At 34.2% G+C, this 24,098-nt stretch overlaps 1 protein-coding gene across 3 annotated transcripts in view; it reads left to right on the top strand.

Moving 5' to 3' along the window:
- LRP1B (LDL receptor related protein 1B) overlaps window positions 1-24,098 on the top strand; it is a 1,899,594-nt gene that overhangs the window by 1,171,540 nt on the left and 703,956 nt on the right. For all 3 annotated transcript variants that reach the window (NM_018557.3, XM_017004341.2, XM_047444771.1), the window contains exons 19-20: window positions 7,537-7,617; window positions 9,075-9,242. In NM_018557.3, the coding sequence (NP_061027.2) occupies window positions 7,537-7,617; window positions 9,075-9,242 (249 nt within the window). The remainder of the gene's footprint in view (window positions 1-7,536; window positions 7,618-9,074; window positions 9,243-24,098) is intronic.

Here is a 24,098-nt window from a genome sequence, read left to right as displayed (position 1 = left end):
TAATTATTTTAATTGCCAGGGAGAATTATCATTGTTAGATATGAGTTTATTCTTTGACTTGGAAGATTTTTCTGTTGTGCTAAAATGTATTAAAAAAACAGAAAATGCAACTTGAATCTCCTATTCAGTTTTTCAGTCAACTAGTTTCTTCCTATCAATATTTATGTATGTATGTTCAACATTTTCCCTCTTAAAGAAAGATTACCACCAATATAACTCTCTTCTAATCCTGTATCTCTCGTTAAGGATCACATTAATTCTTACATTCTTCACATTCAGATTTCCTGGAAAAGTTGCATAAAACTTTATGTATCCATCTTCCACTCAGTCTACTAATACTGGAAATTTATTTTCCCCTTAAACCATTCCACCAAAACTGTCTTTGACAAGCTCAATAGACTTACAAAAAAAAAAAAAAATCTGAGCAGCACACTTCAAGTTTGTATCTAACTTATCTGAGCAGCGCTGAACACTGCTGTCCTTCTCCTTCAAACACTTCTCTTGCCTTTAGTGACTGATATTTCTTGATTTCCCTCTTATATTTTTCTGGTTCCTCTGTCTCTACCTAACCCTCATATATACGTTCACTGTTTTCTTTGAGAGGGTGGGTAAATTATTTTCTAAAATGTTCTCACTTTTTATTTTTTCAGTGGGGGTGGTGGGTAAATTTCTCACTCCAGGTTTAACATTTAAAATTGTTGCAGGTTAATTCAGGTTTTATACATGTGTTCTTGAGATCCTGATGTTTCACTACGGTGTTTATGTGAATTTATTTTTACTTATTTCAAAATAGATTTTGCTTCCTGAATCTAAAGTCATGTCTCCTTAAATTCTGGGACATTTTAAGAAATTGTCTTCTTAAATATTGCTTGCTATCCTGATTTTCTCTCCTTCCTGTTTTAACAACTATTAGTTTGTTAGATTCTGTCCTTCATGATTTCTCTTTTATATTGTTCTTAAACTCTGAGCTGCAACTATGGTGATTTCTTCAGATCTTCCAGTTTAGTAATTCTCTCTTCAAGTGTACTAATTTGTAATTTAACTTGTTCATGCGGTTTGTAATTCCAAAACTACAGTTTTCATTTCTGAATGTCCTATTTGGTTGCTTTTCAAATCTGCCTATTTTATCTGTGTGTCTTTTTACATGGTTTTTATTTTTGTCCTTACCTTTTAAATACATTTTGACTTACCTATTTTATATTCCCTATCAGATTTCAATCTATAGCCTCTACAGATAGATTTTTTAAAAATATCTAAAGATATTCTGGATCTAATCCTGTTGTTTGTTAGGTCTGCTGAATTTTAGTCACCAGATTTTAATTATTTTATAATTATTATTATTGGTAAGTTTAATTTTTTTTGTCCCATGTGGAAATTTTAGGAAGACTTTCTTGGGTGATGTCTTTCCTGAGCACCCTGTCACTGTTCTGAAATATTATTACATGGCCTGGATTAATTTTTATTTGAATTTTTCAACTTAAGATTTCTGAATTACAGGAAGTAGAGCTCGTGACTGATTATAGCCTTGTGATCATCTATTTTCAAGGGGACTTTTTTCCCCTCTCACAGTCTAGGCTGAGATATCTCTTTCTACTAGGAGGAGATATTATCTAACTCACCCTTGTACTTAGAGTTTAGACTTTGAAGGTCCTAGCTTATGTTGGCATCTTTTGTAGAACTAGAGAATTCTCTCCTGTCCCAGATTGACATTAAAACCCAGGCATCTAGATAGATTACAGAACCAGCTTTCTTTTACTGCCTTTGGAGGCAAAACTACACATGCATGCACAGGCAACGTTTTTATATATCATTCACTCACAATTCTAGTTTTTAGGACCCCTTTTATTTCTGGACTCTGAAAATTTATATTCTTTGTATACATTTACCTATATATTGAAATATTTGGCTGTTATTTTACCTAACATTCCTGATTGTCTGCCATATTGTCAGAACTATTCAATATTTTTTCCTTGCACTTCTTTTAGTCTCATTGTATATGTACTTCCTAGGTGTTCTCTTTGACTTTCTAATACTTTGTCATTTAAATAGTGATCATTTCCAACTCTGTCTTGCAAGCCTATTTCACTACTTCTATCTTATACCTTATTGCAACCTTTCTAAAATTCTTTCATTTTCTCAAACATTGTATATACCCTCACTTCCGGGCCGTCATGAATCTGTCTCTTTCTTTGGAACATTGTAGAAGCACTCCTTCTCCTCTTGTTCATGTGCCTTAATTCAAACATATTATTCATATCAGTTTTATATCCCTTTCTCTGGGAAGCAATACATAAATAGCCGAGATTAGTTTGGCTACTTCTGCTGTGTACTATAATAACACATTACATTGCCTATAAAATAACATCTATCAGATATTTATTAAAATCACTTAATTGTATTCCAAATGTCTTCCCTAGTAGATTGTAAGCACTCTGAAAAATGAGAATACTCAATATTGTATTCCTAGTGCCTAGCACTCTTTCATTCACTCACTCATTCATTCACTCTGGGTGGTATATTTCTAAGGCCTAGAACTCTATCTGATATAAAATTCTCAGTTAAATATCTTGAACCAATAAAATATTTCAGTGATATTTTCTTCCATTTTGCAAATCACAGACCTCTGTTCAGAGATGTTAGGTAACTACCCAATATCACACATTAATTGGCAATACAGTCAGGATTTGAACCCACATTTACCTGCCCGCAAAGCCTTGTTTTTTGTATGTGGCATTATACTTGGTATATAAAATGAGATTGTTATGTGACAGCAAGGAAAGAGTGGCAAAACGATGACAATTTGTGGTACACTACTCTCATATCGTTTTCTCCAAAATGCATTTACTCTATTGGATCATTTGAAGTCTGTCCTATATAAGTACCAATTCTTGGGAGCCACAACTAGTGTCAATATCTAGAAATGTAATGTATTTTCTCAGTGAATCTAGTGAATGTGTAATCTTTAAAAGCACCACTTTTCATAAGAATATTTAATTATGTACCATAAGGTAGGTAAAAATTAGAATTGAAGTTTAAATGTTAGATGTAAACTACAGAATGAAGAATTAAATTTTTAATTCCTTCCCAAATCTTTCTAAGCTATAAATACTCTTTCAAAAGTATTAGTATAATCAGCATGGTATAGTGAAAAAAATAATGTATTTTGGCATTGATCAGAGTGTTGTATTCAAACTTTACTGCCACTTGCTATTTATGTGATATGTCCTTAGGCAGGATATACTGTTTTCTTCTGCAAATTGGTGTTAGTGTTAACAATTGCAGGGATATTGTCAAGAGTATCAGTGTATTGGTAATATATCTACAGCTAGCCTAGTATCATATATTCAATAAATAATAGGTAATGTGTTTATTATTGTCTTTTTCAGGTGAAGATAATACTTTCCTAAATCTGGACTCGTACAATATTCTTATCTTGTCATTAATTTTAACTTGAATCTTCTATGCAATTTCCACATACATAATTTTGAAGGATAAATTTATCTATATAGCTCATGTGTTACATGATCTCAAACATACCTATGGCATAGGTTTTGAGACTTTATTAACAAATTACTTAAAAATATTATTTTGGGGGGCAAGGAGGAGGAATAAGGAAAATTCCTAGGTCAGAGACAGGAAAGAAGCCTGAATTAGATTTGAAATCTACCTTCCTGGGAGACATTCCTCTAAGCTTTGTATACTGGTTAAATATAAGTACCATACCAATCACGATTACCCTTGAGAGAAAGACAATTGTAGCCATTTATATAATAGCTTACCTATAACCTGACAATAAATTTTAAGTGAAACATATAATAGGTAAATTGAGCATACTACCTGTAATAATAGAAGATTTTTAACAGTCCATTAATCCATATTAAATATTCTATGAGGTTTAAGTAACTACCAAGATAAAATATAGTTTTCTTTTCCTTTCTATAATTGTAACTTGATGACATGTAAGCCATTTTTGTTCATAATTTTTCTCTTTTTCAGAGTTAATCAGGTAATTCTTGCAAGTGTCCTGCAATTTGTATCCAAAGTCAAAGAATTTTTATGCAAAGTCAAGAAATAAAAAATTGTGTGTAATATTTAAATCTTTGTCAAATATAAGAATTCGTAATGACATTTTAACAGAGCAGGTATCCAGAAATAAACCCATATATTCAGATGCTATTTTCAACTTTTAAATTAACACTAATATGAAAGAACAGGAAAAATGTTAAATTTATTTTAAGAGGTTTTTAAAACACAATAATCAATTATGGTAATTTATTATAATGCTGTGAAAACCCCGGGAGTTATTCAAGTGGTGAATCCTACTTTTTGCTACATTAAATGCTTTCAGGGTATTATGCATTTCTAGATGATATCTCTTCTGACTTCTTGATCTCTAGGACTTATAGGACCCAAGAGATAAGATTATAAACCAGAAGTCTGAAACCAGAGAAGCTGAGTGATTTACTCAGTCATAGTACTTTGAGAATGAAACAGAAATGAAACATTAATAACTTTCCTCCTGTACATGTCTCTCTTTAAATAATTACTCTCTTCAGTGATTTCCCTTCAGCCTTATTCTAGTTCCCAATGTTTTTCTCTACAGTAATTTTTCTCCATAAGCTAAGTTGGACTATAAGGTTAACAACAAGAGACATGATGTAACTATCATTAAAAAATTAATCACATATGATATATAATTGTTAAAGCACACGTTTACATTATATGTGTTTATGTTTTATTCAGTGTGGGCAGAAGGTTAATGTCTCATTTTCTTAGAGGTTGAATGTACTGAATATTAGATTTTTAAATTTAGTTTGATAACTTTTTTTATATATTCAGAGCTAATTTCCACTTTATTTTTTGACTGTTTTTTAGTGTTAAAATCTAACAGTTGGAAATAATTTTAAAATTTACATGGAAAATTTCCCAACCGATGAAGTATCATCAGTTTCAAAAGTTTTCAGATGCTTAGGATGATTTATTTTTTTCTTAGCAAAACTTAGAATATTGATTAATATGCTCCTAAGTTTATAGAAGAGAGATAAAATTTAAATTAGCTTATTATAGAGTCAAAAAAGATGTAATGTTATTTTTAAAGATTAGATCTCATCATATCTGAGTCCCCATTTTATTGTTTACTCATTTGAACCAAAACTTGAGTTGATTCTCTGTTTAAATGCCTTGATTCTTGTCTACAGTACATCTTCTACACTGCAGTACATCCACTAAACAGTTATTATCTATCTAAGGACAAAAGCATATTTCGGACAACGTTCGTGCTGATTCTTGAAACATAAATGTGAGTTCTCACTATCTTGTTAGGCAACAAAGAGAAGAAACTTACGAAGGAGTGGCTGACATGAACAAAATCTTGTTAACTGAATCCTAAAATAGTGGAAATATTTAGAGACACATTTCTGATAAACACAAGAAAGTACTCCTTTGCAAAATGAAACAATGTATGAGAAATGTTTAAACCTTATGCTGAATATATGCTAACAATATGAGGAGATTAAAATAACGGTTTAGGTACATTCATGGATGGTAAGGGAAAGTGAGATAGGAAATTGGTAATAGAGTGTAGTACAAAGAGTGCTGGATGGGGAGCTTCATGAAATGAATTCTAAGACCTGTTTTTCCTTAAGGAGATACATGTATCATTAGGCAAGTCTAATTTCTCTCAGTTTCAGTTGCCTTATAGCTAAAATGATTGGACATAATTAGTCCATTTTTTAAGCAGAGAAATATATTTTTGTTATTCATATATTTTTCTCCAAAATAAAATAGTGCTCAAAACTACAAAATTGAAATGACTGATTGATTGATGAGTAACATGTGAATAGATTTGGCTGGAGAAGTTTGAATAGCCAAAGTCAAGCCTGTTCAGCCATCAGTTGTTCTTGACAGCCCTGAGACAATGCAGAGAATACAATTTGAAAATATTTACAAATATTTTACAAATATTCTCTGCGTTGTCTTCCCTCAAATATATTCTATGATTCTGTGTCAGTGGTCTTAAATGGAAAAACAAATATTAGTCACAAAATGTCATTGGCTTCCGCTGTCACAAGAACAATTAAAGAATATGGGCCAGGCGCAGTGGCTCACGCCTGTAATCCCAGCACTTTGAGAGACTGAGGCATGTGGATCACAAGGTCAGGAGATCGAGACCATCCTGGCTAACATGGTGAAACACCGTCTCTACTAAAAATACAAAAAATTAGCCTGCATGGTGGTGCGCACCTATAGTCCCAGCTACTTGGGAAGCTGAGGCAGGAGAATCGCTTGAACCCAGGAGGCAGAGGTTTCAATTAGTCTGGATCTCGCCACTGCACTCCAGCCTGAGCCACAGAGTGAGACTCCATATCAAAAACAAACAAACAAACAAACAAAAAGAATATGGACCATAGGTCTATTTCAGTATATCAGTTTTTTCTATCTTTATGTAATTAAACTGATAGAGTTTCTTATTTCTTATTTTTCTTCTTTAAATATCTTTTAAAGGAGCTCTTGTGTGTGAAGATTTGTAATGCTATCCATATTCTCCTGAGCTTAAAGGTCTGATATTGAGCAACTTAAATAAACTCTAGGTGAATAACTTTCACCATGTATGAATTAGAGAAAATAAAACTTTCTCCTGGGACATATTAGTAAGCAATTCTAAATTCCTTGGATAAAGTGTTCAGCAATTATATTTTTCTCTGACTACTGTTACCCCTCTTTTTTGGCTATTCACCTTGATTATCAGATTTTATTATGACAGTGTTGTCTTTTAGATTTATTGATATTCAAATTGGCTAATTATCTCTTTTTCAAACTCTTTTTCTATGCTAATTATATGCCTTTCTGTTGTAATTATCTAAAGGTTAGTAAGGAGGTCTCTTGATTTAATTATGTAAAATTCATCTTGAAATCTAATTCTTTGCTATTTTTTTTTCGGTTTTTTGTTTTTTTTGTTGTTGTTGTTTTGTTCTTTTTCGTAGACTAAGATTTCATACTTTTCTTTGTAACTAGGTGATACTGGCTTACCTAAATGATTTTATTGTGTTTATTTTTTTTTTAACTTTCACCATATAATGTTAACATCTTTCAGACGCAGAGTGAGATCTGACTTTTCATCTTTGGCTCTCTGTATTCAGAAAAGGCCTTCCACTATTAAAGCATAAACACATTACTTTGCAGCTCCAGAGTGTACAGCTCCAATAGCTGTTATCCACTGAGTGAATGTTGAGTCCCTTGGTGCATGGAGTTGACATCTATTCATTTTTCTAGCAGTATAATGAATCCAAATGATCCTTCATAAAATAATTCTCCTAGGCTTTCAGTCACTGGAAAGCACTCATTTAAAGTATATTAAAAGTATGTGTGTCCTATGTCCTCAAGAAGTTATAGTCACTGTATTTGTTTATCTGCCATTTCCTCTGTGCCTTTGTAGAGAACAGGGAAGGAGTTCTGATCACATTATCAGATGATACGAATTATGTCATGCACAGTCAATAACATGTTACCTTTTGGACATTTTTATATCTTTCACAGAATTCCCAACTTGTGAGCCACTAACCCAATTCGTATGCAAAAGTGGAAGATGCATTAGCAGCAAATGGCACTGCGACTCTGGCAAGTACCAAATGCTCACTGTATAGCACTAATTTGATCGGGGGCTTGGCGGTCTGGACTGCCTGGCTTTCTTCAGAGGTACTTTGTAGGGGAATCTTGCAGAGCCAAGAAAAACGGCTAAAACAAGTGGTGAGCGGGCAGCTAGCAGCACATCAGTGGGAATTAGCATTAAAGATAATGGAACTCAATATTTGCCCCATGGGTGTGTGATAGAGATTTGTTTTCAAATGTTATGTTGGACATAGTCTAATTCTACAAACATGTAGTAAAGTGGACAATTGAGAAAATAACCTGGACATCTCGGGTTCCATAAAACATGCGTGTAACCTCAGGAGGAGAAGCTTATACATTGCTATGAAATTACCCAGATAGTCTCAACTCTGTCAGTTTCCTCTTATGTTCAAATGGTATTTTATTCTCATATTCAATTGTATTACTATGCTAAATTATGCCAAATACAGGTAAATTAATTATATAGGAATCAATGCATTCCCAGCCATTTATTTTAATTTGATCTAATTTTCCTTCACAGCTCTCTCCCCTCCCTCCCGAAATGGTTGTTAATAAAGAATATAAATCATTTCTAATGATACTGTACAACAGTTTCCAAGTACAAATATATACAGAGGAGCCAAGGAGGAGGGGTAAAGAGTGGGTTCTCATGTTGGAGAATGGGGAAAAAGGGAGGATATTGAAGATAGAATTATAAACTATGGGACATGAGAACTATAGGTTTAAGTAATAATCTTCCACAATAATTATATTATTGGTTGTATCATTTCATGAAATTCCTACAGTCACCATTGCCTCCTTGTTTCGTGGTGCATAGATGAATTCAGTCAGTGGTTAGTTATTTCTGTGTGGAACAGAAATTAAGCTTCAAAATCCAAAGTCAAGGATTTTTTTCTCTCAGTTTAGCAGTTGATATTAAATCAAAGGAGAAGCAATATGAAGATGAAAATAATTCTTCCACTGTTTATCAGCAATGTTGTTCCACTGATTCAATTATCATTCATTTTTCAAAAAAAAAAAACAACTTTATATAGGAAATAAATAAATAAATCAAAGGGCCGGGCACAGTGGCTCACGTCTATAACCCCAGTATTTTGGGAGGCCGAGGAGGGTGGATTGCTTGAGGCCAAGAGTTTGATACCAGCCTGGCCAACACATGGCGAAACCCCATCTTTACTAAAGAAATACAAAACAAATTAGCTGGGTGTGGTGACATACATCTGTGGTCCCACTTACTTGGGAGGCTGGAGTGGGAGTATCATTTGAGCCCCAGGAGGTGAAAGTTGCAGTGAGCCGAGATAGTGCCACTGCACTACAGGTTGGGTGACAGAGCAAGACTCTGTCTCAAAAAACAACAACAACAACAGAAACCAGTTAGATATTTCATAAGAAAAAATTTCTTCATGGTTCAGATTTCACTGCCTCATGTTGATGTTTCTTTCCAGATGACGACTGTGGGGACGGGAGTGATGAGGTGGGCTGTGTTCACTCTTGCTTTGATAATCAGTTCAGATGTTCCAGTGGCAGATGCATCCCAGGCCACTGGGCCTGTGATGGTGACAATGACTGTGGGGACTTCAGTGATGAAGCCCAGATCAATTGTACTAAAGAAGGTTAGTAATTTTATAAATTAATGAAATCTCATTTTAAAAGTTGATGCATAATAATACTTAGGGTATTACAGAGAGAATATTGTATAAAAAGAAATTGCTTATTAGGCAAGAATATACATGTGGAACTGTGTAAAATCATTTGCTATCTCTTTCCTTTCCCTCTTTGCTTTTTCCCTTTGGTTTCTCCTCTCAATACCTCCTTATTCCTTTATGCCTTCTGTGGTCTTTGTTTCCTACATTTACTCAATGCTTTACTTACTGCTTTTTTTCTTTTTTTTTTTTTTTTTTTTTTTTTTGAGACGGAGTCTCACTCTGTCACCCAGGCTGGAGTGCAGTGGCGCCATCTCGGCTCACTGCAAGCTCCGCCTCCCGGGTTTACGTCATTCTCCTGCCTCATCCTCCAAGTAGCTGGGACTACAGGCACCTGCCACCATGCCCGGCTAATTTTTTGTATTTTTAGTAGGGACGGGGTTTCACCATGTTAGCCAGGATGGTCTCGATCTCCTGACTTCGTGATCTGCCTGCCTCGGCCTTCCAACATGCTGGGATTACAGGTGTGAGCCACCGCGCCCGGCATACTTACTCTCTTTATTCTCATCCAAACCCTAAAACTATTTCAACAGTGAAAAAGAAAATATATAAAAAAAAAAGAAAGGAATAATTTTACTTTTATTTCCATACAACATTTGTTTACATGAGGTTTGAAATAATCCCTGATTAAATGAGGATGTATTTCCAACTGACTGACTTTCTAGAGTACAAGCTAAGAAAGGAAGGAGATTATGACCATGGCTCTCAACATATCCATGGGGATGATAACCCTGTCATTCGCCTGGCTTACTTTGCAAAATATGATCAGTCATAGAGCATATTAATAATTTAAAAGTCATGTTGGAAATCTTACAGAAAAAAATCATTAGACTGTCAAGCAATCATACAATTAGTACTATTTTAACAGAATTTTTTCTGCTAAGAGACTGAAAGATGTTATTTATTTCATTTATCTCACAAATATTTATTGAGGACTAAAGAATAAATAAAAGGATGAAAACATATGGCATCTGCTCAGTTTAAATATCAGCGTAAACAAACAAGCAACAAAGTAATTTATTTAGTGTGGAGGGGTAGGGGAATCATATACTCCATGAGCAAAAGAAAGCATTTTCAAAGTGTTTTACACAGATATGTTTGTCTTCTGCAATATTTGTCAACCTATAAGATAGACAGTGTCTAAATTGTTTTCTCCCACATAGATTCCTTTTGTCTTTTGTTTCCCCTCTTTCTCTTTAAACTGTAACTTCTTAAAACAGTGGTTATTAAATTATCTACAATACTAGGTTTTTAAAAAGCCCAGCTGTTCTGCGGATTCCCTGAGTGATGTATTAAAATACATATTGTGTGATTTTTTAATTTACCTGGAGAACTTGGATTATAAGAGTCATAGTAAAGATCCAAATATGGCTAAACAATGGCCTATAGGCCCTGAGGCAGTGAAACACAAGTTCTCATGGTTGATGGTCTTGACATGATTCCTGTCATTCTCTGGCAATGGACATCGTAGAAATTATAATAAAAACAGAAACGAAGAAATTATTTGTGACATCCTATAAGATTTAACATAAGCATATTTGAATTCAATTTTGCTTCAAAATCAGAAGAATGCATTATCAATAAAGCTACCATTTAATATTATCTCTCATTCTCCATTATGTAATAAGTTCAAGACCTCACTCTTCTCTCTTTACCTCTAGCTCATTATTGTGTCCATTTCTCTATTTAGTTGTTGCATGAGTATATATGAGCTAGAACTTTTTGCCTATCATTAATATTGAGTGAAAAAAGAAAAAGTATATGTAAAGTTTTTCTTTTTTTGCCAATATTTGAAACATTCATCTAAGAGTGGTCGACATTTCATCATTATATAACATTTTAAATGTAAACAGTATTTTTCCTTCCTCACAGATGTCTTTTAAGGCTCCTCGTGGGGTGTGCGTCTGTGGTCTGCTGACACTACTCCATAATGTGCTATGAAATCTAAATTGCCCTAAAGTTAATTTATTGTCATCTCAGATGTGAGCTCACATCCTTCTCTTGCATGTGCATTTATCACTAAGTTTAAACGATCATTACATATTATGAAATTTTTAAAAGATTGCTTTTCCCTCATGAGTGTCCAAAGTTAGTGGCACACCTCTTTGTAGGCTCTGTAGATAGTAACTCAGGTTTCACTATTGTAGAAGCAGTGGCTATTTAATGTTAATGGCCTTATTTAGAGCACCTCATTTTCACTAGTAGATTACTGTATGGGTATACTGTCAATGTGAATGGCATATATCTCTTGTATAATTATGGAAATGATCCAGTTAGTCCACATGACTCCTTGACATGTTTCAAGCAAAGAATGAAGAGAGTTCTTGAACTAATTTGTATTGATCAGATTATACATTTTACTAGGATTCCCTAATCAAATATTCTACGTGGTGAATACAAGGTGGAGGAATTGTGAAAAGTTAACATTCCAGGATGACTTTGGTAAAAGACAATTCAAAGGATTTCAAGTGGAACTTAAATATTTCTATTCATTATTCTTTTGATTGTATATTCTGGTATAGAAGTTGTAAAATGACACAGATTGTTAAAGCTGATCAGCAAAGTCATTTGCACGTGCAGAATTTGTGAGCCATTGCCGAAGTAAAGCAGAAATTCGCTTTGATTAGTCATATAATTCAGTCCCCAAACCTGCTGTGGAAGAAAGAGCAGGGGATTCTGGCTTGAGTTTCAAGACTGGCTGTCAAAACTGATCAAATCCACCATATAATTGCTCAGCACTTTGCTTTACACTGCATGGATAAGCAGAGCATATGGTGCAATTTCTCTCAACTCAAATTGTTTTCAAAAGGGTAGAAATACACTTAAATTGACTTTTAATAGTAAAGGAGGAGGAGAAACTGGGAAATGGAACATTCCATATATAATCTTCGTTTCAGAAAATTTCTAAATTTAAGTTCAATATGTATTCTCTCTAAAATCACTTTCAAAAATTTATTTTTGTTAAATTTTATTTTTATAATAGATTCGGGGGGTACTTTTGCAGGTTTATTGTTAAGAGTATTTTGCATGATGCTGAGGTTTGGACTTCTATTAATTCTGTCACCCAGATAGTGAACATAGCACCCAATAGGCAGTGTTTCAGCCCTTGCTCACATTCCTTCTCTCCATTTTGGAGACTCTATTGTTCCCATCTTTATGTTCACGTGTACCAAAGGTTTAGCTCCCACTTACAAGTAAGAACATCTAATATATGGTTTTCTGTTTCTGTGTTAATTCACTTAGGATTATGGCCTCCAGATGCATTCATGTCGCTGTAAATGACATAATTTGTTCCTTTTTATGGTTGCATAGTATTCCATGGTATACATGTATCACATTTCCTTTATCCAGTTCACCACTGAATCAACCTAAGTTGATTCCATGTCTGCCACTGTGAGTAGTGCAGTGATAAACATACAAGTATGGGTGTCTTTTTGGTAGAAAGATTTATTTTCCTTTTGGTATATACCGAGTAATGAGATTGCTGGGTCAAATGATAGTTCTGTTGTTGTTGTTTTTGTTGTTGTTGTTGTTGTTCTTGTTTGAGACTGAGTATCACTCTGTTGCCCAAGCTGGAGTGCAGTGGCATGATCTCAGCTCACTGCAACCTCCACCTCCTGGGTTCACGCAACTCTCATGCCTCAGCCTCCCAAGTAGCTTGGGACTACAGGTGTGAGCCACCATACCCAGCTAATTTTCATATATTTAATAGAGATGGGTTTTCACCATGTTGGCCAGGCTGGTCTCAAACTCCTGACTTCAGGTGATCCATCCACCTCAGCCTCTCAAAGTGCTGAGATTACAGATGTGAGCCACTGCCCCTGAACCTGTTTTTACTCCTTTGAAAAATGTCCAAATTTCTTTCCACAGGGGCTGAACTAATTTACATTTCTACCAACAGTGTCTGTGTGTTCCCTTTTCTCCACAGTCTCACCAACATCTGTTATTTTTTGACTTTTTAATAATAGCCATTCTGATTGGTGTGAGATGTTATTTCATTGTGGTTTTGATTTGCATTTCTCTGATTATTAGTGGAGCATTTTTTCATATGTTTCCTGGCCACTTGCATGTCTTCTTTCTGAGAAGTGTCTGTTCATGTCTTTGGCCTACTTTCTGATGAACTTGTTTTTTTCTTATTGATTTCTTTCAGTTCTTTATAAATTCTGGCTATTAGTTCCTTGTCAGATGTGTAGTTTGCAAAGACTTGCCCCCATTCTGCAGGTTGTCTGTTTACTCTGTTGGCAGTTTATTTTGCTTGACAAATGGTCTTTAGTTTAATTAGGTCTCACTTATAAATATCTTTTGTTGCAATTGCTTTAGAGGACTTAGTCATAAATTCTTTGCCTATGCCAATATCTAGAAGAGTACTTCCTAGGTTTTCTTCTAGGATTTTTATAGTTTAAAGTTTTACATTTAAGTCTCTAAGCTGTCTTGAGTTTTTATTTTTTTTTGTATATAGTAATAGGGCTACAATTTCATTCTTCTGCATATGGTTAGCCAATGCTCCCAACGCCATTTATTGAATACGGAGTCCTTTCCTCATTGCTTATTTTTGTTGACTTTGTTGAAGATCAGTCAGCTGTAGGTGTGCAGCTTTATTTCTGAGCTCTTTATTCTGTTCCGTTGATCTGTGTGTCTATTTTTGTACCATTATCATGCTGTTTGGGCTACTGTAGCCTTGTAGTATAGTTTGAAGTTGGATAATCTGATGCCTCTAGCTATATTCTTTTTGCTTAGGGTTGCTTTGGCTATTTGGAATTATTTTCTATATGAATTTTAGAATGGCTTTCTAATTCTGTGAAAATTGATGCTGGTGTTTTGATAGGAATGGTGTTGAATCTGTGGATTGCTATGTGCAGTATGAACATTTTAATAATATTGATTATTGCAATCCATGAGCATGAAATGATTTTTTATTTGTTTGTGTCATCTCTAATTTCTTTCAGCATCTTCTTGGTTAGATGTATTCCTAGATATTTTATTTTTGTAGCTATTGTAAATAGGATTGTATTCTTGATTTATCTCTCAGCTTGAATGCTATTAGTGTATAAAAATGCTACTAATGTTTGTATGTTGCCTTTGTATCCTGAAATTTTACTGAAGTCACTTATCTGGGCTAGTTGCCTTTTGGCTTAGGGGTTCTAGATAAAATCATATCATCAGTTAAGACAGATAATTTGACTGTTTCATTTCCTATTTGGATGCCTTTTATTTCATTCTATTAACTGATTGCTCTCTCTGGGGATTCCAGTACGATGTTAAATAGAAGTGGTGAGATTAGAAATCCTCATCCTGTTCCAATCCTTAGGGGAAATGCTTGCAGGTTTTGCCTGTTCAGTATGATGTTGACTGTGGGTTTGTCATAGACAGCTCTTATTATTTTCACAAATATTCCTTTGTTGCTTAGTATGTTGAAGGTTTTATCATGAAAGGATGTTGGATTTTATCAAAGGCTTTTTCTGCATCTATTGAGATGATCATATGGTTTCTATTTTAATTCTGTTTATGTGGTGGTTCACATTTATTGATTTGAGTATGTTGAACCAAACTTGCATCCCAGGAATAAAGCCTACTGATCACGATGGATTAACATTTTAATGTGCTACTAGACTCAGTTTGCTAGTAATTTGTTGAGGACTTTTGTGTCTGTGTTCATTAGGAATATTATGCTGTAATTTTCTTTTTTCATTGCATCTGATTTTTGGTATCAGGATGATACTGCTTTTGTAGAATCAATTACAAAGGAGTCCCTCCTCTGCAGTTTTTTGGAATAGCTTCAGTAGGATTGGTACCTGTTCTTCTTTGTAGGTCAGGTGGAATTTGACTGTGAATCCATCTGGTCTGGGACTCTTTTGCCTGGTAAGGTATTTATTATTGATTCAGCTTCAGAACTGGTTACTGGTCTGTTCAAGGTTTCAAATTCTTTCTGATTTAATCTAGGAAGTTGTGTGTTTCCAAGAATTTATCCATTTCCTCTAGATTTTCTAGTTTGTACACACAGAGGTGTTCATAATAGTCCCTGAGAGTCTTTTGCATTTCTATGGGATCAGTTGTAATGTCACCATTGTCCTCTGGGGTTGTGCTTATTTGGATCTTCTCTCTTTTGTTCTTCATTAGTTTAGTAGCCTATTGATCTTGTTTATTCTTTCAAGGAACCAACATTTCCTTTCACTGATCCTTTGTATGGTATTTTGGGAGTCTAAATTTCTTTTAGTTCTGCTCTGATTTTTAGTTATTTCTTTTCTTCTGCTAGCCTTTGGATTGATTTGTTCTTGATTTTCTAGTTCCTTATGTGTCATATTAGATTGTTAATTTGAGATCTTTCTGTCTTCCTGATGTAGATGTTTAGTGCTATAAACTTTCCTCTTAAGACTACTTTTGTCAAATCCCAGAGGTTTTAGTATGCTGTATCTCTATTTTTCATCTGTTTCAAAGAAGTTTTTAAATATCTGCCTTCACTTTGTTGTTTACACACTAGTCATTTAGAAGCAAGTTGTTTAGTTTCCATGTAATTGGGTGGTTTTGAGAGTTCCTCTGGCTATTGATTTCTATTTCTATTTCACTATAGTTTTAGAAGATGCTTGGTATGATTTTGATTTTTTAAAAATTTATTGAGACTTGCGACTGAGCTTGTGGTTGATCTTAGATTATGTTTGACTGCAGATGAGAAGAGTATATATTCTGGTTGTTGAGTGGAGTATTCTGTAGATGTCTATTAAATCTAATGGGTTGAGTGCTGCATTTAATTGAGTAACAGAATTCATTTGTTAATTTTCTGCCTTCACAGTCTGTCTAATGCTGTCAGTGGGGTATTGAAGTCCCCCACTATTATTGTGTAGCTGTCTAAGTCTTTTCCTACATCTAGAAGTAATTGGGTGCCCTAATGTTGGGTGCATGTATATTTAGGAAAGTTAGTATTTTTGTTGACTTGAACCCTTTATCATTATGTAATGCCCTTCTTTGCCCTTTTTTACTGTTGCTGGTTTAAAGTCTATTTTACTTGATACAAGAATAGCAATCCCTGCTGTTTTTCGTTTTCCATTTGTGTGATAGATCTTTTTCCATCCCTTCACTTTGAACCTATGTGTCTCATTACATGGGAGATGGTCTGTTGAAAGCAACAGAAAGTTGGTTCTTGTTTTGTTTTAAACCCAATTAGTCACTCTGTCTTTTAAGTGAAGCATTTAGACTATTTACATTCAAGGTTAATATTGATATAAGAGATTTTCGTTCTATCATGGTGCTATTAGCAGTTTGCTTTGTACTCTTGATTATGTAGTTGCTTCATAGGGCCTGTGGGCTATATACATGTCTTTTTGTAGTGGCAAGTATTATTCTTTTATTTTCATGTTTAGAACTCCCTTAAACATCTGTTATAAGACCAGTCCAGTGGTAGTGAATTCCCTTAGCTATTGTTACTCTGGAAAAAAAATTTATTTCTCCTTCATTTATGAAGCTTAGTTTGGCAGGATATGAAATTCTGGCTTGGTGTTTCTTATAAGAATACTAAAAATAGGCTCACGATCTCTTCTGGCTTGAAAGGTTTCTGCAGAGGAGTCTGACATTTGTCTGATAGGATTCACTTTGAAGGTGATATGACTTTTGTCTCTAGCTGCCTTTAAAATGTTTTCTTTCATGCCGACCTTGGAAAATCTGATGACTATGTGTTTTGAAGATGATCATCTTGTATGTATCTTGCAGGAATTCCCTGAATTTCTTGTATCTGTATGTTGACCTCTCTTGTAAGATTGGGGAAATTTTCATGGACTATATCCTCAAATATGTTTTCCAAGTTGCTTAATCTTCCTGTCTCCCTGGAATGCCAGTGAGCTGTGTGTTTGATCACTTTGCATAATCCCATATTTCTCAGAGGCTTTATTCATTTTATTTTAATTATTTTTCTTTATTTTTGCGTGACTGCGTTGATTGAAAAAATTGGCCATTGAGCTTCGAAATTCTTTCCTCTTCTTGGTCTAGTCTGTTGTTAAGGCTTCCAATTATATTTTGAAATTCCTGTCATACATTTTTCAATTTATAAAAGTTCAGTTTGGTTCTTTCTTAATATAGCTTTGTCATCTTTCAAATCTTGAATCATTATTCTTGTTTCACTGGATTGGATTTTAACATTGTTTTGGATCTCATTGAGTTTCCTTGCCATCCAGTTTCTGAATTCTATGTCTGTCATTTTAGACATTGTCATTTGGTTAGTGTTCATTGCTAGAAAGCTAGTGTGTTCCTTTGGAGATGATGAAACACTCTGTCTCTTTGAATTGCTAGAGTTCTTGAACTGATTCCTCATTATCTGATGGAGCTGGTGCTTCTTTTTCTTCATGAATTTGCTGTCATTTGGATGGGACTTCTTTGTTTTTATATTCTCTTTTCCCTCAAAGGTTTAACTTACATGTATGTTGTGTATAGTCAATTGGCTTCATTTGCAGGTGCTTTCAGAGGGCCAAGGTTCTGTATGAGTTACTTGGTTGTAGATAGGTTCCCATGGTAGGTTTCACTGGTATTGCATGTTGAAGCAGTATGTTTTTGTTTTGTGGGATAATTCAGGCTCAATCCAGTAGATGGTATGTAAGAATAAGGGCTGGCAGGTAGGCTTTTACATAGGTGCTCTCATGTCTTTCGTATTTCAATGTGTACACAGTTATGCTCCCTTGCTTAGGTCTGGTTTGGTTTCTGGGGACCAGTCCTCACATCCTGCAACTTTGAACAGGCCTTCCAATGTCCTCCTTCTTCACCCATGGTACCTGTGTTGCCCGTATTGACTTTCAGTGTTTTCTCTCAAGAGATCTCTTTGAAGTGTGATAGTTTACTCAATATTTTGTTTCCTCTCCATGGAAGAAGAGTATCTTGGCTGGGTCTAGTCAGATGTCTTGTTCTCCTCTTTACCATTTTCTTCAAAAAGGAGTTCTATAGTGATGATCCATTTTTCATCATCAATATGGTTAATACATGGGAAAGTATAAATGAATAGTTTCTCCTAGATTAATTTATACCCGCTTTTTTTCTCTTAATGTCATGCTGTTTCTTTTTCTCATTTCCAAACTTCTTATAGACAAGGAAGATGTGTCTTCAGAAAACACTATGTTTCAAATAATTTGAAAAAAATGTTGACATCACTGATCATTAGAGAAATACAAATCAAAACCACAATGAGATACCATCTCACGCCAGTCGGAATGGTGATCACTTAAAAAGTCAAGAAACAGATGCTAGCAAGGCTATGGAGAAATAGGAACACTTTTAGACTGTTGATGGGAATGTAAATTAGTTCAAACATTGTGGAAGACACTGTGGCGATTACTCAAAGACCTAGAACCAGAAATACCATTTGACCCTGCAATCCCAATACTGAGTATATACCCAAAGGATTATAAATCATTCTATTATAATGATACATGCACATGTATGTTCATTGCAGCACTGTTCACAATAGCAAGACATGGAATCAATTCAAATGCCCATCAGTGATAGACTTGGCGAACAGTCTGTCTCAATGGAAAAATAAGTAAGGCTGGGTCCCTACAGAATTTGGTATGAGGGAACTTCCTCTAAAGCCCAGGTCTGACCATTTATATTTATGTATTGCAAGGTTCTTGTGAAAAGGTGGATTTACCTATAAGGACATGAAGAATAAAGTTATCATGAAACTTCAGTCTTTTCTTATAAGTCATTAACTCTCTGGCCAGAATAGTAAAATAAGGAGAGTCTGGATATACATCACATCTATTAAATATCAAATATAAAATTAATCTCATCTCATTGTTGACAGTTTAATTCATCTGAATTATGTAAACTTTCACTACACTTTTTTAGGGAAATCTCAACTATATTTCACCCCTGGAATAAGCCATTTTTGAAATAAACATATAAAAAATTGTTCAGTATCTTTAGATAGCTATTTCCGCAGGTAAGTTTCTATTCAGAAATGTTTGTAACAATTTACACCAAATAGGCTGGGCGTGGTGGCTCACCCCTGTAATCACGGCATTTTGGGAAGCTGAAGCAGACGGATCACTTGAGGTCAGGAGTTAGAGACCAGCATGGCCAACATGGTGAAATCCTGTCTCTACCAAAAAATACAAAAATTAGCTAGCTATGGTGGCACAGCTGTAGTCTCAGCTACTCTGGAGGCTGAGGCATGAGAATCGTTTGAACCTGGGAGGTGGAGGTTGCAGTGAACTGAAATTGCACCACTGCACTCCAGCCTGGGTGACAGATTGAGACACTGTCTCAAAAAAAAAAAAAAAAAATTACACCAAATAATTCAGCATGTCCTTGATAAAGAAAGAAACATGTTTTTCCTAAAAAAAATTTTACCTGTATTTTCTAATTGCAACTAAAAGTAACTCAAATATTCCTTAAATGTTTGGATTTTCATGTTGAGGGGACATCTGACCCTGGTTTATTGTCATTGTTCTGGTTTATTGTCATTGTTCTTTAATACCTTCTTTTAGGCTATCTGAAAAGGGAATATTTATTGCCTGCTGTATTAAGTGAACACTCAGAGTAATGCTGGGTCATATGTGATATCTTATTTACATAGTAAATACAGTTTAAATGCAAATATAAAAGTAAGCATGTATTGACCTACAATTTAAATTTATTATAAATATATATTTATAATATAATTTTATATTATAAATTTATTATAATATATTTATAAATGTTATAAATCTTTAACAAGTTTCCAAATCCATTAGGCAACTAATTGTGTAATATGATTAATATACATACTCACACATGCTCTTATTCTTCTGTTTTAACTGTTTATCTTTGCTTCTGCTTTGGAAACTTCTCCTTTGGCTTTTTCTTCATTTACTCATTCATGCATTCATTCATTTTCCTCACTAATTTCTTGTTCTCAGATCTAAGAAGAAAACTAAATTAAGTTTATCTTGTGTTTGTACTTTTACAGTTAAGCATGATATTTGATACTGGGAATGCATAGTAAATGTTGAATAAAAGAGTATTTCTTGGACAGAAAATTTGATTAGACTCTCAGAATCCATCCCTTGTAGTACTTTTTTTCTCTTTCTTTATCTTACCCCCAGATCACAGAGTTTAGTGTTATCATAATATACAAGACTAATCATATCAATCGAGTTTGTACATTTTCTTAGTACAATGTAATCATTTTCATTTATTCAATAAATACTGGAAATTTCAGTCAGGATTCAATAAAATAAAACTGACAGGCTGTCTTCCATATCTTTTGTTATTGTTTATTTCTTTTGCTTATGTCCTCTTTGCCCAATAAATAGTGAATTTCCGAAAGATAGAAAAATTTTAAATTTTTCTGTATATATCATTTAGCAATAAATGCCCGTGAGAAGACACTGTTGATAATATAGGGGAAGAAAAGGGAGTTAATGTATGTTAGTGACCCACTAATTGTCCGACATTTTATATTTGTTACTTCATTTAATCCTCACAGTAAGTACTACTATTCAGGGATGTTTAGATATTTTCCCAAGATTATGCAGCTGAAGTTCCAAAGACTGACTGCTCTTTATTCCTATATCCAGTCACCTGTCTCTGCAGCTATAGAATATAATCTCCTTTTTCCCCTAACTTTCTGTGAACTAACATTTAAATGAACCCCCAGTAACTGCTACCTTGCTCTCAATTGCATACTCAATTTCAATTAAAGATGACAAAAGAAAGGCATTTCTACTTACTACAGATCACTGTAATGAAATTTCACAAAGAGCACTGGAAGAGATCTAGGCCCTTATATTAAATAGTTACAATAAGTCTGTCTGTCTCTGTCTTTTTTGTTTTTATTCTCTTTTACTTTTCATAATTCACCTTGATAAAATAGATTCTAGGACTTTTTCATTGTGATAGTTTGGACATTCTCACACTATTCAGTTCACACAAAGACCATATTTGTCTTTCATAAAAGTTTTATCTCATACATTAAAAAAAATAGGAAGCTGGAAGAAAATTAAGATCATTTAGTTCAGTTATTTTATTGTGTAGATGAGGAAAAGGTCTCAGCAAGCTAAAATCTTATCCTTATAAGTATATAATGGTAACAAGAACATTTATGCTGCTTCCTGGAAGGAGCTGATTGCATCCTGTGTTAGAGATGTTGATTGAGACAGCGACTTTTGAACCATAAGGACATTTCTCGGGGAGATTCTGGTTTCAAACAATCATGCTATGTTCTTTGTGGAAAATCAAGGTAGTTCTGACAATATTATGTACCAAAAAAAAAAAATGTCCTACCAACGGAGGTTGAATCCACTCAAAGCAGTGAGGCTATCAAAACTTGATTTGTAATGGAAAACTGAGATTACATATTTAAGCATAGAGAGAGAGGAAATTAAAACCAATATATTTTGACTTCTAATCTATATCATACCCTATCTCAGCTAACCCACCATCTTTAGCAGCATACTTGAATCCTTATCACATAGAAAACAAGATACCAATAAATACTGTACATAAATACAAATACTGACTCAGTCACCTCTTCTGTTTCTTTCATGAGAACATTGTTTTAATTGTTCTAAAATACTCATAGCACAAAATTTACCATCTTAAAGATTTTAAGTGCACATTTCAGTGGTATTAAGTACATTCATATTGTTGTACAAGCATCAACACTCCTTCATACCTAGAAATCTTGTCATCTCGCAAAACTGTAACTCTACCCATTAAACAATAATTACCTATTCTTCCTTATCTCTAGCTCCCAGAAACCACCATTCTACTTTTTGTGTCTATGCTTTTTATAACTCTAAGTATCTAATATAAGTGGAATCCTACAGTATTTGTTTTTGTTTGTAACTGATTTATTTTACTCAGCACAATGTCACCAAGTTTCTTCCATACTGTAGCATATGTCCGTATTTCCTTCCTTTATTAAGTCTTGAATGATCAGGAGGGGCTTCTGTCATTTTACCATTTGTTTCCTATGTGCCCTTTAGTACTTTTTGTTCCTCAATTCCTGCATTACTGCCCTTTTATGTTTAGTTGGCATTTTGTGATGAAATGTTTAAATTTATTTCTCATTTGTTTTTGTGTATATTCTATAGCTTATTATCTTTGTGGTTATCATGGGATTACATTTAACATCCTAAAGTTATAACACTCTAATTTATATTTATAGCAGTTTAACTTCAATAACTTACAAAAACTCTGCTTCTTTATATCCCTGTCTCCACTCCTTTCAGTTATTGATGTCACAAAATCACAGCCTTATATTAGGTTGGTGCAAAAGTAATTGGAGGTTTTTACCATTACTTTTAATGCCAGAAAACACAATTACTTTTGTACCAACCTAATACATTGTATGTCTGAAACATAAACTAATAATTTTTTTAAAAACACATTAATCTTTTAAATTGTGTAGAAAACAAAATGTGATTTGCAAACAAAAGGTACAATAATACTAGCTTTTAGAATAATATTTTTTTCAAAGTTAGTCTTTTAAATCATGTAGGAAACAAGAAGTATAGTACAAGTCACTGTTAAAATAAGACTAGACTTTGTAATTGCCCACATATTTACCTTTCTTGTGATTTTTATTCCTTTATACACCTTAAGGTTACTCTCTATTTTCCTTTCATTTCACCAGAGAACTCCCTTGAGTATTTCTTGCAGGGAAGGTCTAGTGGTAAGGAACTCCCTAAGCTTTTGTTCATCTGTTCATCTGGGAAGGTCTTAATTTCACCTTCAATTTTGAAGGGCAGTTTTGCCAAATACAGGATTCTTGGATGACAGGATTTTGTTTATTTTCTTCCTTTTCTTTTCTTTTTTCCTTTCTTTTTTTTTTTTTTTTTTTTTTTGAGACGGAGTCTCCCTCTGTCAACCAGGCTGGAGTGCAGTGGCACAATCTCAGCTCACTGCAACCTCCACCTCCCAGGTTCAAGCAATCTGCCTGCCTCAGCCTCCAAAGTAGCTGAGATTACAAATGTATGCCACCATACCTGGCTAAATTTTGTATTTTTAGTAGAGATGGGGTTTTACCACGTTGATCAGGCTGGTCTCGAACCCTTGACCTCAAGTGATCTGCCCATCACTGCCTCTCAAAGTGCCAGGATTGCAGGCATGAGCCACCATGCCCAGGCAAGTTTTTTTTTTTCTTTTGACACTTTGAATTTACACACACACACACACACATATACACACAGAATCAGTCTAAGCTGATATGCATATATATAGGTATATGTATGTATATGTGTGTGTGTATATATACACTTAACATATCACACATATATATACATATATATGTGTGTGTGTGTATCAGCAGATTTCTCACCAGAAACTTGGATATACATATCAGCCCACACTGCCATCCAAGCTTCCAATGAAAAATCTGTTGATAATCATACTGAGGATCTCTCATATGTGATGAGTATCTTCTCACTTGCCGCTTTCAAGATTTTCTCTTTTTCTTTAGATAGTTTGCTTATAATGTGTGTTGGTGTAGACTTCTTTGAATTTATCCCACTTGGGGATGGTTGAGCTTCTTGGATGTATATATTCATGTATTTCATCAAACTTTAAAGTTTTCTTTAGATATTCTCGCTCCCTTCCTCCTCCTTCTGGAAAATTTATATATTGCTCTTCTTCATGGTGCCCTGCAAGTCTCTTATACTGTGTTCAGTTTTCTTTGATTTTTTTCCCTCTTTTCCTCAGATCAATAAGTCCCATTGTCCTATCTTCAAATTTGCCTGTTTTTTCTTCTTCCAGCTCAAATCTGCCTTTGAATCTCTTTAGTGAATTTTTCATTTTAGTTATTGTACT

This window comes from Homo sapiens, chromosome 2, assembly GCF_000001405.40.
Source record: "Homo sapiens chromosome 2, GRCh38.p14 Primary Assembly".
In the NCBI taxonomy this organism is placed as follows: Eukaryota; Metazoa; Chordata; class Mammalia; order Primates; family Hominidae; genus Homo; species Homo sapiens.
This window is presented reverse-complemented; position numbering and strand designations above follow the sequence as displayed.